Source organism: Homo sapiens, chromosome 12 (genome assembly GCF_000001405.40).
Source record: "Homo sapiens chromosome 12, GRCh38.p14 Primary Assembly".
Lineage (NCBI taxonomy): Eukaryota > Metazoa > Chordata > Mammalia > Primates > Hominidae > Homo > Homo sapiens.
Window position 1 is genome coordinate 126166247 of NC_000012.12, and position 16651 is coordinate 126182897.

At 39.4% G+C, this 16651-nt stretch overlaps 1 long non-coding RNA gene across 12 annotated transcripts in view; it reads left to right on the plus strand.

The window, feature by feature from the left end:
- The window catches only part of LINC02359 (long intergenic non-protein coding RNA 2359), an 82665-nt gene extending 72104 nt beyond the window's left edge, over window positions 1–10561 (plus strand). For 2 of the 12 annotated variants that reach the window (NR_186738.1, NR_186739.1), the window contains one exon: window positions 630–745. This is a non-coding gene — a long non-coding RNA (long intergenic non-protein coding RNA 2359). Of the gene's footprint in view, window positions 1–38; window positions 1087–1296; window positions 2286–3526; window positions 3685–5069; window positions 5120–5344; window positions 5476–7578 lie in introns of those variants that run through there. The other 10 variants (NR_186744.1, NR_186749.1, NR_186748.1 and 7 more) reach the window with 10 other exon arrangements.
- Window positions 10562–16651: the final 6090 nt, after the last annotated feature.

Consider the following 16651-nt stretch of genomic DNA (forward strand, 5'->3'; position numbering starts at 1 on the left):
GTGGATCAGACTTTGGAGCAGGTGATCCTTGGACGCCCACAGTACATCACCTTCATGAGCGCATCAGTGAACACCAGTCTAAGGAAGACATCTCTGAACGTAATTTTGGAGATTTTGATGAGTTCCATTGAAACAAGGAGGAATGTGATGTCCAGTATCAGTTCTGCAGACCCAAGGACAAAGAAAATTCTGTGATAAACTCATCCAGTGTGACTGTAATGTGGGTATCTATTTGATACCTCCAAGTAACTGTTTATTCTTGTGCCAGTTGAGTAGATGGTACGGGCCAGTTGGTGTTGATTAGTGAACCACGGACAAAGGGCATATGTCACATGAGTTGCTCCTGGATAAAGTCACCCAGTCACTTCCTGATGAATATCCTGCATAAACTCCAAAGACAAAAGAGAGTTAAGGTTGTTTTTCTCACCTTAGACCAGGCAGTGATAGAAGAACTGGGGGAAGAGATAATTGTATTTATCTTGGTGAGGGTGACAAATCATGGCAAATGAGCAAAATGAAAAAGGTTTGCAGATTTCAACAAACTTCTAAAAGATCAGCTTACAGTCATGTATACATCTCTTCCTTTGTTTCTAGTTTATTTGCATCTCATTACTATGTTCTCGGTTTAGGATACAAGACACCGGACTTTCAAATCAACAATTGTTTCAAAAGACTCCTACTGGATTCCTGCTAGTGATGGGAGAAAATTATCATTCTGTGAGTTGTCAATAAATGTTTAACCACAGTTCACCTTTTTTGGATTTTAAGATGTCTGCGCCACTAGGACGCTCAGAAAAATTACCCTCCAAATGCTACTTGGAGGAGGATTCAGTACCACCCTGAGAAGGCAACCAGCTACAACCTTGGTTGTAGTTTCGGTTGCAGAAAGAGCGTGAAGTGTGCAACTCATGTCTGTCTTCATTTTAATAGGCTAGTTAATCTGTAGCCAGAGATGATTAAGGAGGTCATTAAAGGAAAACAAGCTGCCCACCATGCTGATGCCTGGTTGTTCAGATCGTTGAGGTGGTGTAGAGATGACGCACACTGGCTCAGTTTACCCACATTTGGATCTACGGACCTGCAAGTGTATGAGCATAAAACATTGCACTTCTGACATCTTTAAAACTTTTGTCTTCTCTCTGGGGTTCTGGCTCTTCCTTCTGCTTTCGTGTTTTGGTTTTTAAGCAGTAACATTTATTTAAGTATTTGCAATGTGTCAATGCTGTGCTGAGTGTGTTGTGTGTATTATCAATATTGCTAAACGTAGTGAAGTAGGAACTATTATTTCCCCCATAGAAAGAAGCACACAGCCTAAAGGGAAAGCCACTCTCCTGAGATCCTTGTGTCAACAGATGACAGAGGGGGTACTCGAACCCAAGTCCTGTGACTCACCCATGCCTGCAAAGTCTCTTCTTGGATACCTTTCCTGTTTTCTTTATTTTTTCTTTTTCTATTCTTTACTGTTGTTTGTGTTTGTTTGTTTGTTTTTTAAGCAGGGTCTCACTCTATCACCCAAGCTGGAGTGCAGTGGCAGAATCACAGCTCACTGCAGCCTTGACCTCCTCAGGCTCAGGTGATCCGCCCACCTCAGCCTCTTGAGTAGCTGGGACTGCAGGCATGCACCACCATGTCTCGCTAATTTTTGTAGAGACGGTGTTTTACCATGTTGTCCAGGCTGGTCTCAAACTCCTGGGCTTGAGTGATCTACCTGCCTTGGCCTCCCAAAGTGCTGGGATCACAGGCATGAACCACTGCACCCAACCCTTCTTGTTTTGTTTAGGTGCTGACATCTTAACTAAAGGACTACCTTAGCAAAAAATGTCTCTCTTCTCTCAGGGGTCCCATCCTCCTAACTCGGCCCTCCTTAATCTCAAGCCTGCAACTCTAGCACGTAGGAAGGAAGCAGCACACCGTCTCTGGTGACTGCAACAGAGGCCTGAGCCCCACCCACACCCTCCTGCAGGGTTGGACATTGGCAAATCCAGCCATTGATATCAAAGCAAAAGGCTCATTCATTTACTTGCATTTGTGGTTGGGAGCATTTCCCGAAGAGAGGTGGGGAATTGGTGATGGGAAAGCACAAGTCAGGCTGGATGCCCGGCCCTGGGCACTCTCATGCCTCTTCTGGAGCCCTTCAGTTTGGATCATCGCCCTTTCCCACATGCCACATTGTTTGTCCACCCTGATAGCCTCTGTCATGACACACCAGCCCTGGGATATCACATAAGCTACAGGTCAGACGCTGCTTTCCAGACAGAATTATGGAGAAGACAACCATCATTTTGGTGAGTGTTTTCTAAGGCCCTTGGGGCCTCATCCTGGAAAATAAATCTAGCCTCTGAGTTCTGGCTCCAGGTAGCAGCTGGCGGGACCACTAAGGTGGGAGGCTGGCTGGGGTCATAATTGTGATGCGTGGACTGAGAGAAGGGAAGGAATGAGGCGGGATGGATGCCTGATGGCAGATGCTGCAGCTTTTTCTTATCAGGGAAATAGCCCCTGCATCACAGCATTTACAAAGTAGTGATGCAGTGTGTTCATTTTATTTTTCTCCTTACCCTTACATGTTCTTGGTGATTAGGGCATCGATCCCAGGCTTGAGATTTGAGTGAGAGTCATTTTAGGGCAACAGTTGGTGACCTGGGAATCAATATCCCATCTGCTCATTGCTCGATTGTCACTTAGTTTGTGCTTCCCTAAAATTAATTCAAATGAACATAATTTTTACCATAAAATTATATATATGCATTGTGAAAAATGTCTCTAAAAATCACCTGAAAATATACCATTTAAAGATAGTAGATTTTTGTTTTTGTTAAACACATCCCTTTTTTCTACACACACACCAGCTGAAGTCAATTTAACTTTTTGATATTTTACTAAAAATAGATAATTGCCTGATCATCTACTTTTATCTCCATAGGGAAGTTCAAAGTCTTCATTCTGTATTTTCCTGGACACTAGGGAATTAAATTTCATTTTTGTTTGTTCATTTATTTCACCAATGCTCCTTGGGTGCCAAGTCTCTACAGGACCTGGGGTAGAGAGAAAGCTGGTAGTAATGTCTATGGGTCTTCCATTGCCCAGGAGGTTATTTTCCAGTCATTTCCAACTCTGTATCCTAATAGACTCTTGGGTTCTTTCACTTCTAACTTCTACTACTGTTTTCTGATCCATGATGCTGACATGGGACACGGCCGATGTTCCTTGATCTCTGTGCCAATTATAAATTTATTGCCTCTCAGCTCTAAAGTCATCCTTTTTGCTTGGTCTTTGAAAATGTATCTGGGCCCCTTTATTTTAATCAGGGCTGAATTTTTAAAAATTAGTTGCCAACACTTAGTAATTATTATAGTTTTATATTTTGTTCCTCATTAACTTCTCTAATCAAATATGGTCATCACCACATTATAAATATATATAATATACGCTAGCTTTTTTCCTGAAAGCAACTTATTTTAACATTATTGTAGGTTCAGCCAACCCATATTGCACATTTAAAGCCATTAGTTGTTCCCACCTCTAATAGGAGCTATAGATAGTGGATTTCAAGAGAGTACCAAGGTTGCTACTCCATAATGGCCAGAAGAGCAAGCCAAAAACATCAGAGTAAACACAGAAACCTCACATCTCAGGGAGGTTTGCTTAACAAACATATCAAGACCTGGGATACCTGGAAAACTGCAGGTAGGGTTTGTTTCTTGTATAGGTTTGATTTATAATTATTACTCCCACAATGCTTGATGGCCCCAAACAGTAACAGAAGCTCTAGTGAGTTCTTGATTAAGCTAGTTTTTCCAAGATTTCATTCATTTTCTCCCCTGTTGTTTGTTCTATAGTAATTGTCAGGAAAATTATTTTTTTTCTGCATGCATGAGCATAGCATTGGAATTTCATTAAAGTTTTTTGTTCCTTCAGTGTTTTTACTGAAATATTGTTTTGTCTACATATAATCTACATATAATTTGTCCACATTCCTTGAGTGGGAATTCATTCAAAATTCATGTTTTTTGTTGTTGTCATTGTTTTTTGATTTACCCAGCCTGCAAGTACAGGATGGAAATTCATGCTAATCTCATTTTTTATTACACCGTGATTGTTAGTTACCAATATCTATGAATGACTGTACTGGCATTTGTTTTTATAATAATGCACAGAAGAGATAGACCCAACTTACTAACATACCTGAGGTATTTTTTCTGCTGTGCTTTTGCATTCACTGATGATGATATATATCTTTTAACTATGTTATTTTATAATTTCTCAGCACTAGTTGGCTATTACTTCCAATCCAGAATTGTTTTCTTATATATAATATATAGCATATTGTACTTACATAAGCAGGATTATGTATTTTCCCTACAAAACCATTTTAAAATTCATTTCCTATGCATATATGATAGAAAGTAGTTAGATTCCCTTCCATAAATATTTTCTTAAAGAAATAAGGGTGTGTTTTATACTTTAAAGTCTTACAGATTAGGAAATACTCCACTTCTGGGTTGTTCTGCAGGGATACTAAATAAGTAAAAGGAAACTAGCATTTACTAAGCGCAGCATTTTTGTAAACTCTTTTAGTTGATCCTCAAATAGAATTGCCAGATCAAATATAGGATGCTTAGTTAAAGTTTGATTTCATGTAAGTAAGGGATACTTTTTTTAGTATATCACAAATATTTCATGGTATATACTTATATTAAAATTATATGTTGTTTATCTAAAATTCAGAATGAACTGGATGTCCAGTATTTTTATTTGCTACATTGAGTAAAACTATCTTTGAACAACTCTGTAAGATTCCAACCGGCATGACTTTCTTCAACCCCAGTATCTAAAGAAGAAAATTTTGGGGGAGAGTGTGGAAAACTTGAAATAGCTTCCAAAATAGAGATGTGGTAGCCTAAAATTTAAAATTAGGTTATTGATGATTTTTCCTATTATGTCTGAAAATATAGCAAAATGAAAGCTATCTTTATATTGCATCACATTATTTATTGATAAATTAGAATCATAGAGTGTCCATGTTAGAAGCAGTGTTGGTCATCATCCTACCCAACAACTTTGTTTTACAGATGAAAAGAATATGTCTAAGATCCTGTTAACAGCAGAACTTAGACTGCTAGTGAGTTCTCTTAACTATCTCCAATAAAGGTTATTTGAACCACTCTGGTGTATTTAAAAATATGATTTATGTAAAGTGTGCAAGATATTTTTAGTTGACACACAAACAAGAGAAAGCCACATGAGCTGAGGCTATGCAGGGTGTTGGGCCAAGGGGAGGAGGGCAGGGTGGAATGGGAGAGGCTCATTGATAATCAGCATGTGCGTTTTTTTTTCTGGCTTCTAGGCCCTGCTGGAAATTTTCCATGCTCTTCATTCGTTCTCCTGTATTTCCTAACGCCAATAAAAGAGGAGATCCCTGAGGACACGCCTCTCTTTAATATCTGCTTTCCTTGCAAAGATAAGCCAAAGACCAATGTATGTCGTATCTGCCCCCTTCAGCCTTTGGGACACAATTTTGATAAACCTTCCTCTATTTCACATTAACAGAAAATGTCACTTCTCCCTTCCTAATCTCCAATGCAAACCTAACATTTTAGCCCAACGTTTCTCATGCTTGCACAAGCCAGCTTTTAAATTCTGCTCAATTCCAATTTAAGAGTAGGCATTGTGCTAGACATTTATAGCCCAAGATCTGTAAGCAAATATAATTCTGTGGACTAAGAAAGCTAACATTTAAAGAACGGAAAGAGTTTTTTATTTAAAAAAAAAACGCGAATCACTATCACTGCCTTTATTAATTCTCTAAGTACAAGCTGTTGTAAATCTTCTCAGTGTTAGATCCCACTGGAGAGTGATTCATCATATTGCACATAAGCTCACTCCAGGCTGAAATCATATCTATAACGCAAGGGTGATTATGGTTGAACACTGGGCACCAAGAGGCTCTCTAGGAGTGCAGAATGGAATATGGAAAAAGCACATCCAAAGCACTGAGGGCTTTCTGAATTGATGGATTTTTAAAAAAATAATTAAAACTAAGATGGAGACTGGTGACCTAGAGTCTGAGTCATGTATTTGTGAAAACATTTTAAGATCTCCAGATCACTTCCCAGCACATCTCCTGCTGCTATTGTTATTAGAAGTATCTCTTCTTATTAATCTTAAGGGAGGGCTACAGTCTCCAGGGATACTTAGACCTGATTATCAGCGTTTCTATTACAAAACTCTACCTTTAAAAAAAAAAGTGCTGTAGATATTAAAAATGCTTTCTAACTAGGCATTGGTTTCAGTCTATTGAATTAAAACTCAGACTCCAGGATATCCTGTGAAGAAACAACATGTGTCATAAAGGAGAAGAGATGTTGCTGGATTGTCTTTCCAGAGCAGAAATGCACAGAAATTTGAATCTATTGAAAGCATTTCAAATCTTCTTTTATAGCTATTTTGAAATTTATAGTAAATTACACATTTTATGCATGTATCCATGTATATACATATGTACAATTATTATGTATAAATAAAAAGCAACAACAACAACAAAAAACGTTTAAAAACCAAACAAATAAAAAAAATGTCACTATTACCTGACCTGGTTTTAGGAGCAGACATGAAACTTCTAAAGAGAGCACCATTCACATGTCTCTTTCAAATGTTCTGTTGGCAGAGCACAGTGGCTCACCCCTGTAACCCCAGCACTTTGTGAGGCCAAGGCGGGCAGATCATGTCAGGTCTGGAGTTTGAGACCAGCCTGGGGAAACCCCGCCTCTACTAAAAATACAACAGTTAGCCGGGCGTGGTGGTGGGCACCTATAATCCCAGCTGAGGAAGGAGAATCGCTTGAATCAGGGGGGCAGATGTTGCAGTGAGCTGAGATCGTGCCACTTCACTCCAGCCTGGGCGAAAGGGTGAAACTTCATCGCAAAATAAATAAATAAATAAATAAATAAATATTCTCTTAAGTCTTTGTTAGAAGATGATGAAAATGCTTGGCTTGTGTCAATGTAACCAAATTTCCACTTAAAATGTACTCTAAAGGCAATGGCAAGGAAGGGAGTGAGATTTGTGTGTACTTTTTAGAAGCTGACATTTTAAAAATACATTTTAAAAAATAAACCCAAAATATGTCAAATAATCTGAAAGAATTTGAGAGGAAACAAAAAATTGACCATTTGGGGGACCATTTGATTGTTACTTTTAGCATTTGTTTGGAGCGGGAAAATCAGAGTGGGGTGGAGGTGACTCTGGGGATAGCATGTCCAGGCCTCTGGAGCACATAGAGGTTCTGCTGTCCAATTAGGGGTCCCATCTTTGTGCCACCCCCAAGAGACAACACATGAGGCCTTCAGAATCCAAGACAGAGTAATAGTGTCCTGGCTGGTCAGAATTATGTCAGCCTCAGTGACACCGAGAAGGGTGTGATCTCTTCTAAAACATAGCAGAGTAATGAAAAATAGATAGCTCACTCTTGGTGCAAGCAAGCAGGAAAGTTTAAGTTTCCCTTTACCTTGGATCAAGGGTTCAGAGTTAGAAATTCAGAACATGCAAAAGGATTCAAAGAAACTTTCTTTGCTTTGACAGGTGAACACAGCAAGAAGAGAATTGACATTGTCTTGGTGGCTAATCATGAAGCACATGGTTTTGTTGTTCTACTAATTGGCTTGTCACTCTGTCCTCAGATGTCAACATTGGTTTATCACATCATATTCCTCCTGACACATCTCCTTCCCTCAGAAGGATGAGTCCATTAGTTATGCACCAACTATCAGAAACTTTTGCATTGCTGGAGTTGAAGAACAAGTTTTTCACTTGTGTCAGGTGATGAAGACAAAGTGTTGATTTTTTGTTCAGAGATAGAAGAAAACAATTCTGAGATACAGTGAGAAGCTCGGAAGAAGTAACCCAGTATCTAAGCAAAGAGAGGGATGTGGCTGGGAATTGCTGGAACAGACTGAGAAACACCTGAATTTTAATTAAGCACCATTACTGAAAATCACAACACTACTATTTTGTGGAAAATAGTTGAGTTACATGTGTTTAAAAATATATATATATGTTTATATATATACATAAAACATTGTATGTTATATACGTAATATAACATTATATATAGATAATATGATGTGATAAACCAAAGTTGTGGGTTATAATGAAAGACTACTTTATTTTGTTGCTCAAATTGATGCAACTCTAGCCGTTATATATGTATGTAAACATATATGTATATATAGTTTGTTTTAGAAAAAAATTACATTTACAGAAAACTTTCAAAAAATCTTAGGGAGAGTTCCCATGTACTTCTCTTGGCTATGACACTTTCTCAGACTTTCCTTTTTCATGATAACCTTTACAGTTTTGAGGAGAGCACTGGCTATGAATTTGTAGAATTTCCCTCAATTGGGTTTTGTCTGATTTTTTAAATAATTAGATGAGGGTTATGTGTTTTGGGGAGGAAGCCCTCAGAGGTAAAGTCCATTCTTAACATTGCATCACTGATGTCATGTCAAGGGTGCACATCACCATGAGTTATCCCTGTTGAGGGTAATCTCGATCTTCTGATGAGCCAGTGTCTTGCAAGCTTCTCCACTGTAAAATTACTCTTTTCCTTTATTTCCATACTCTACTCTTGGGAATGAAGTTGCCATATACAGCCCAGCCTTGACAAGGCTGGGGATGGTTATACTCCCAGCCTTTGAGGGCAGAATTCTCCCATAAGCTATTTGGAATCCTTCTGAATGGGAAATTATTTATTCTCACAATTTACTTATTCAATCATGTATTTATATTAGTATGGACACATGGATATTTATGTTGTGGGTTACAATGAAAGACTACTTTATTTTGTTGCTCAAATTGTTCCAACTCTAGCCATTGAGATTTCTTTTAGTTAGTTCCTGTGTTGCTTCCATATAACCTCACTTTACATCTTTTTCTTAATTTTTGAACACTTTCTTTCATGCCCTGCAAGAGGCCCCAGGTTCATTCTATATCTCTCCTGACCTGGTCATATAATCAGGCATTTCTCCAAGGAATCATTTTTCATTTTACTGGAGAATGACATTAGAAAGCAACCTTTGAGCACTAGGTGTGTTCATTGTTGTCAATATCATTGCTTCTTGGCCTCTCGACTGACAGAGCATATAAATCTACATGTGTATACTAACCTGTGCACATATACATATCTATAAATATCTTAGATTTATTTGTATTTATATTAAGATAAGCATGAATACATGCTGATATCTCCAACTCTAATCCATTACTACGCAAATCACTCTGTTCTCTTTCCCTTCATTATCTGTAACCGTCCATGCCAACACTGAGAATCCTGCATCTCAGCATCTTCCCTTTGCTTATTTTTTCAATTCCTATACATCTATATACTGTGATCATAATTTTAAACCAGCACTTCATATGGAAGATACATTTATCAACCAAGGTATAGTGCTTACGTACAGGTTTTTATGCCTATAGACTTACAGATTCCACTAACTTTCAACTTCCACCCCACTCAGTGAGGTGGTTTCATGTATTTTCAATACAGTTACATGTTCTTTCTCCGCTTTCTCCATTTCTTCTTGGGTTTCTCCAAATCTTTACATGATTTTTAACATTTTTATATGTGAACATTAACTCTTTGTGCTGTTGAGTCCTATAGATTTTGATGAATGTTACATATCCACCATTACAATATCATGCAGAATAGCTTTATGGCCATCAACTATTCCCTGTGCTTCCACTCTCTCCTTCTTTTTCAAACTCTTGCAACCACTGATTTTTTTTTTTTTTTTTTTTTTTTTTGAGATGGAGTCTCGCTCTGTCGCCCAGGCTGGAGTGCAGTGGTGCAATCTCGGCTCACTGCAAGCTCCGCATCCCGGGTTCATGCCATTCTCCTGCCTCAGCCTCCCGAGTAGCTGGGACTACAGGCGCCTGCCACTGCGCCTGGCTAATTTTTTTTGTATTTTTTTAATAGAGATGGGTTTCACCGTGTTAGCCAGGATGGTCTTGATCTCCTGACCTCATGATCCACCCGCCTCGGCCTCCCAAAGTGCTGGGATTACAGGCGTGAGCCACTGCGCCCGGCCGATATTTTTAACTGTCATCATAATTTTGTCTTTTCCAGAATGTCACATAAATGGAATAATAGATTTTGTAGCCTATTTTATATTGGATTTCTTTCACTTAGCAATATACATTTTAGTTTTGCCCACGTGTTTCAAGATGTACCATATGTCTGATATCTCATGTGTTTCTCTCCGTGGATAATATTCTGTTGCATGGCATGGATGTACAGCAACTTATTTATCCATTCACCTAGTGTATGGTTCCTTCTGGTTTTTAGCAATTATTCATAATCATCTAAAAACACTCACTTTTCCATAGACATAAAATTTCAAATCAGTTGAAATGTGCTTGTTTTTATATGTTAATACCTAGGAATTTGCTTGTTTTTATATGTTAATAATATATCTTGTTTTGTAAGAAACTGTCAAATTTTCTTTGAAATGGCTATACTGTTTTGCATTTCCACTAGGAATAAACAACAGCTTCCTGTTGCTCTGCATCTTTTCCAGGAATTGGTTTTTGTATTAGTTCCCTAAAACTACTATAAGGCAGTACCACAGACTGCATGGTTTAGAACAGCAGGGATTTATCTTCCGACGTTCTGGGGTCCAGGTATCTGACATCAAGATGTCAACAGAACCATGCTCCCTCTGAAAGCATTAGAAAGAACCCAAGCCATGCTTCTCTCCCAGTTTCAGGTAGCTTCGGGCATCCCTTTGCTTGCAGATGTGTCACTCCAGTCCTGACTCCATCATATGCTTACTGGTCATTGGTATGTCTTTTTTAATGAAGTGTCTGTTCAGATTGCTTACCCACGTTTTAACTAGTTTTTGCCCGTATTTTTTGGCAAAAAGGAATGAATTAATGGCATTCACAGCAACCTGCATGGAACTAGAACTAGAGACTATTATTCTAAGTGAAGTAGCTCAGGAATGGAAAACCAAAAATCTTATGTTCTCACACATAAGTGGCACCTAAGCTATAAAGATACAAAGGCATAAGAATGACACAGTGGACTTTGGGGACTCAGGGAAAAGGGTGGGAAGAGGGTGAGGGATAAAAGATGACGAATTGGGTGCAGTGTATACTGTTCAGGTGATGGGTGCATCAAAATCTCACAAATCATCACCAAATAACTTACTCATGTAACCAAATACCACCTGTTCCCCAAAAACCTATGGAAATATAAAATTTAAAAAAAATATTTAAATGTCATCTATCTATCTATATATATATTCAATAAGTATTTTTAAATATTTTGTGTCCCAGTCTGTGACTTGTCTTTTTATTTTCTAAACAGTGTCTTGTTGCACAGAAGTTTCTAATCTCAGTGACATCCAACAAATCAGTTTTTTCTTTCATGAATTGTGCTTTTGGTGTTTTAACTATGAAGCAAAATCCACCTAGATTTTCTTCTATGTTACCATTTTCGACAAAAAAATTTAAGTGTATGTTTAATATTTAGGTTTATAATAATTTTAAGCAGATTTTTGTTAAAAGTGTAAGGCCTGTGTCTGGATTCATCTTTTGCATATTTATGTCCGTTGTTCCAGCATCATGTGTTGGAAACACTATCCTTCTCAATAGGATTGCATCTTTGTTTTTGTCGAAGATCAGTGCACTACATTTATGTGGGCCTATTTCTGGACTTTTCTTTCTGTTCCATTATCTATTTCTCTATTACTGTTATTATTTTCTGCTAATGCTACTTGATTACTGTAGCTATATAAGTTTTGAACTCAGGGAGTGTTAGGTCTCTGACTTTGTTCTTTTTCAATATTGTGTTGCCTATTCTGAGTTTTTTCTTTTCTCATATAAATTTAGAAAAAATTCGTCAATATCCACAAAAAAAACCTTAATAATATTTTGACTGAAATTGAAAATAATCTGTAGATCAAATTCAGGAGAACTAACATTTTAACCATATTTTCTTTCTATCCATGAACACGGATAAAATCATCATTTAATTAGTTCTTTACTTTCTTTCATCAGAGCTTTATAGTTTTTCTTATATTAATCCTGTACTTAGTATGTTAGATTTTTCCCTAAATATTTCATTTTTGGTGCTAACGTCAATAATAGGTTTTTAATTTCAAAATCCAAGTTTTCATCACTGGTATACCGAACTGTAATTGAATTAATCTATGAGCTTTGTATCTTGCAACCTCATTATAATCACTTGTTAATTCCAAGAGTGTTTTGTTGTTGTTGATTCTTTGGAATTTTCTTCATAGACAACCATGTCATCTTTGGGAGAAAATACAGTTTTAAAGTTTTATTTCTTTCTTTCAAATCTATATCCTTTAAAAACCTTTCCTTATCTTATTACCTTAGTCCTTCAAGTACAATGTGGAGTAGATGTGGTGAGAAGGGGCATCTTTGCCTTATTCCTGATCTTAGGGGGTTGGCATGGAAGCAACATCCTTCCCACATCAGGAATGAGCTCTGGCAAATTATTTTTCTTGAAGATAATTTCTTTGTTATGGGGAACACCCTGGAAATATTTCACGATGATTATTCTTTCTCTCCCACTGCCAGAGCCATTAGAGGATTTTTTCTCTGATCTTCACCATAAGAATATAGAGGGATTTCTGGAAGTAAAATCCATGAAAAGGTGCATCTGGCCCCATGTAATATACCCCAGTTTCTGACTCTCACACAATCCACACTCAGCCACCAGAATTGCCATTTAAGTATTTATGCCAATTAATGGCACCCAGAGTCTTCTGCCCAAGTAAGCAGATCTCGGCTATGACTCTCTCCATTCACCTCCCTCTCCAGACTTTAGGGTGAAGGTTACCCTGAAACTTCAGGTCCCATGGGTTAGAAAAAATTTACTGGTGTTAACTTCATTCACCTTTTACTTTTTGTAAGAATGGGAGTCAAGACTTCTAAGTTCTTTACATGTCACAGCTGAAACTAGAAGTTTATATTATTTTTTGAATGCTGATGGCAACATACTAATTCAGTTTCATGACCCACTAATAGGTCTTGACCGACAACACAAAGATAGATAACGTCTCAAGAAACTTCCCTGCTTTTGGCTCCTGCATGGAGATCTCTAACAGACAGAACACATTAAGAGGGAAATAAATACATTTACTTTCTCCATTTTTACTTCAAGTATAAAGTGGGTATAGTTTATTTTCAATGTGTTTGCATAATATGAGTCCTTTATTGATTGAGAAAAAAATAATTATCAAGACTAGGGTAATAAAATACTTTGCAGTTAAGGTCCTACCTGCCTGGAGCTGCCATCCTGTGGTTATAAATTTGATTGCTCAAATGTCATTATTTGGGATGGATTTTTAAAATGTCTTTTAAAACCACAGTCAGTATATTTAGAGTCTCTCTTGAAACTATCAAGTTTGAGGTCCCAACTGGTTAAAGGAAAGAAAAGTTGCAAATCGTAACCATCTTCCATGCAGAGTCAAGGGCATCAGCCTATTCAAAATCCTCCTTGGAATTTCAGGGCTTTGGGTTTTACAATCCTTTGTATTTTAGTCTGTGTATCTACATAGACTTCAATGGCTCTTTTTGGAGCTGAGTCCCAGAAAATGTGGTGCCAGTAGACCCTCCATTAAGCTTCCTAGATGGAAAGTCAACTGTAATAAAGTAAGAACTATTTATTAACTTATTTTTAAGTTGTAAAAGCAAGATATGTTCCTTGCCAAAAATGTTTGATAGAGTGTCCAAGAAAGCAGATATATTTTGCCCATTCTAGCACTGTTAACATTTTGTGAACATTTTTTATGACTTTTTCTATGCATATCTATTTCCGAAGTGGATTTATATTATACGGTGAACAACAAGAACCAAAATTTGAGCTTATACAAATTTAACTCTTATGTTCCCTACTGAGAAAGGGAGAGAGAGATACATTTTGTATGACAGATGATTCTGTTCTTTCTTCCACTCAACGAATGCCTCAGAGTTTGATGAGGGTGGAGGTGTGAACAAATGCCTCAGAGTGTGATGAGGGTGGAGGTGTAAACGAATGCCTCAGAGTGTGATGAGGGTGGAGGTGTGAATACATGCCTCAGAGTGTGATGAGGGTGGAGGTGTGAACAAATGCCTCAGAGTGTGATGAAGGTGGAGGTGTGAACGAATGCCTCAGAGTGTGATGAGGGTGGAGGTGTGAATACATGCCTCAGAGTGTGATGAGGGTGGAGGTGTGAACGAATGCCTCAGAGTGAGATGAGGGTGGAGGTGTGAATACATGCCTCAGAGTGTGATGAGGGTGGAGGTGTGAACGAATGCCTCAGAGTGAGATGAGGGTGGAGGTGTGAACGAATGCCTCAGAGTGTGATGAAGGTGGAGGTGTGAACGAATGCCTCAGAGTGTGATGAGGGTGGAGGTGTGAACGAATGCCTCAGAGTGTGATGAGGGTGGAGGTGTGAACGAATGCCTCAGAGTGTGATGAAGGTGGAGGTGTGAACGAATGCCTCAGAGTGTGATGAGGGTGGAGGTGTGAACGAATGCCTCAGAGTGTGATGAAGGTGGAGGTGTGAACGAATGCCTCAGAGTGTGATGAAGGTGGAGGTGTGAACGAATGCCTCAGAGTGTGATGAGGGTGGGGGTATGAATACATGCCTCAGAGTGTGATGAGGGTGGAGGTGTGAACGAATGCCTCAGAGTGTGATGAAGGTGGAGGTGTGAACGAATGCCTCAGAGTGTGATGAGGGTGGAGGTGTGAATACATGCCTCAGAGTGTGATGAGGGTGGAGGTGTGAACGAATGCCTCAGAGTGTGATGAGGGTGGAGGTGTGAATACATGCCTCAGAGTGTGATGAGGGTGGAGGTGTGAACGAATGCCTCAGAGTGTGATGAAGGTGGAGGTGTGAACGAATGCCTCAGAGTGTGATGAGGGTGGAGGTGTGAATACATGCCTCAGAGTGTGATGAGGGTGGAGGTGTGAACGAATGCCTCAGAGTGTGATGAGGGTGGGGGTGTGAATCTCATGTTCCTTCACATGAATGGCATGAACTGAAGGCCTCTCTCTGTGTGAGCTGTCCGTGACATTAAGCACATTCCTGTGTTCTGGAGGAAAGGAAAATGATTTTCAAATAAACACTTGACCACATACAACTTCCATTTTTCACCTTGTAAAGTTTTGAAGGGAGGATATTCAATTTCCATCATGTTTTGCTTTGTTTTGTTTTGCTTTCCTGTAGTGAGCTTCTTCCTCATTTATGCTGAGGATAGTAAGTGCCTCTTTCCATCTTGTTCTCCCTGCATCCCTCATCTCTGCCCTTGAAGAGAGTGATTGACATGACAGCTAAGCCTGGGATCAGGAACTAAGCATGTTCAGAACAGCCATTCATCACTTTCTTTTCAGAGTTGCGGGCCTCTCCCCAACTCTGTGGGGAAGAGTATTGGCATGGCCTGTGCCTGTCAGGAGAGGCCAGAGTTCTGGTGGGAGGTCCACTTAGGATACCTGACTGTGTGCACAGGCCAGGGACATCCTCTGATAGAGTTCTACCATTAATAAATCTGATAGACTTGTCTGTACCTGTCTGGTTCCTGTGTCTACCTCCCTATCGTAGGTGGTGTCTACCAGCCATAAGGAGTGCTAGTTATCTTCCATTTGCCTTCAAGATCAATTTTCCACCCTCTGCACCCTGCTTGTGTCCAGAGAAGTTGACCTGTGTGGACAATATCATGAGCTTCCTTGTTCTCTGGCTCCCTGATGGGTTTGGCCCAAGAGAGACATCTCCAGGAGATTGGCGAGTGGGAAGATCAAGGTGGGGTGTCGATTTCCCTAGTTCTGTCCCTTTAGGTCCCTGGAGATATTCTGTGTCCTCTTGCCAAAGGTCATGGCTTCTGTCAAATAGCCCCCCTTTCCTGGTTGTAGAAACCTTTCCAGAAACCCCCTTTCCTGGTTCTAGAAACCATTCCCTTCTTTTCCCTTGAGGAACAGGATATATATGTAACCTTCCCGTTCTTACTAGCCCCTGATCAGCTATTCTTATTTCACCATATTAAATACTTATTCTGCTTTTTGTTGTTGTTGTTGTTTGTTGTTTTGAGACGGAGTCTCGCTCTGTTGCCCAAGCTGGAGTGCAGTGGCACGATCTCGGCTCACCGCAACCTCTGCCTCCTGGGTTCAAGCGATTCTCCTGTCTCAGCCTCAACCTCCCGAGTAGCTGGGATTATAGGCATGCACCACCACACCTGGCTAATTTTGTATTTTTAGTAGAGATGGAGTTTCTCCATGTTGATCAGGCTGGTCTTGAACTCCCAACCTCAGGTGATCTGCCCGCCTTGACCTTCCAAAGTGCTGGGATTACAGGCATGAGCCACTGCGCCCAGCCTTATTCTGCTTTTAAAACAATCTCTTTAACTGTCTTTAAGTTACCCAATTTGAGCATGCATTTGTTTTCTCCTGGGACCCTAATTGATAAGACCTTAGAGGAAGCTTATTTTATAGCTCCCATGTGTTTCTGTAATATGGGAGGAGCCCAAGCCTCTGACCAGCATAGGCCCCAGCCTGGCATTGGGACAGGCTTGGCTGATGGCAGCTCTGGGACATCTACATGAAGACCTGTTACTCCCCTACTTACGTTTTTATCTCATTTCACAGTGCCCT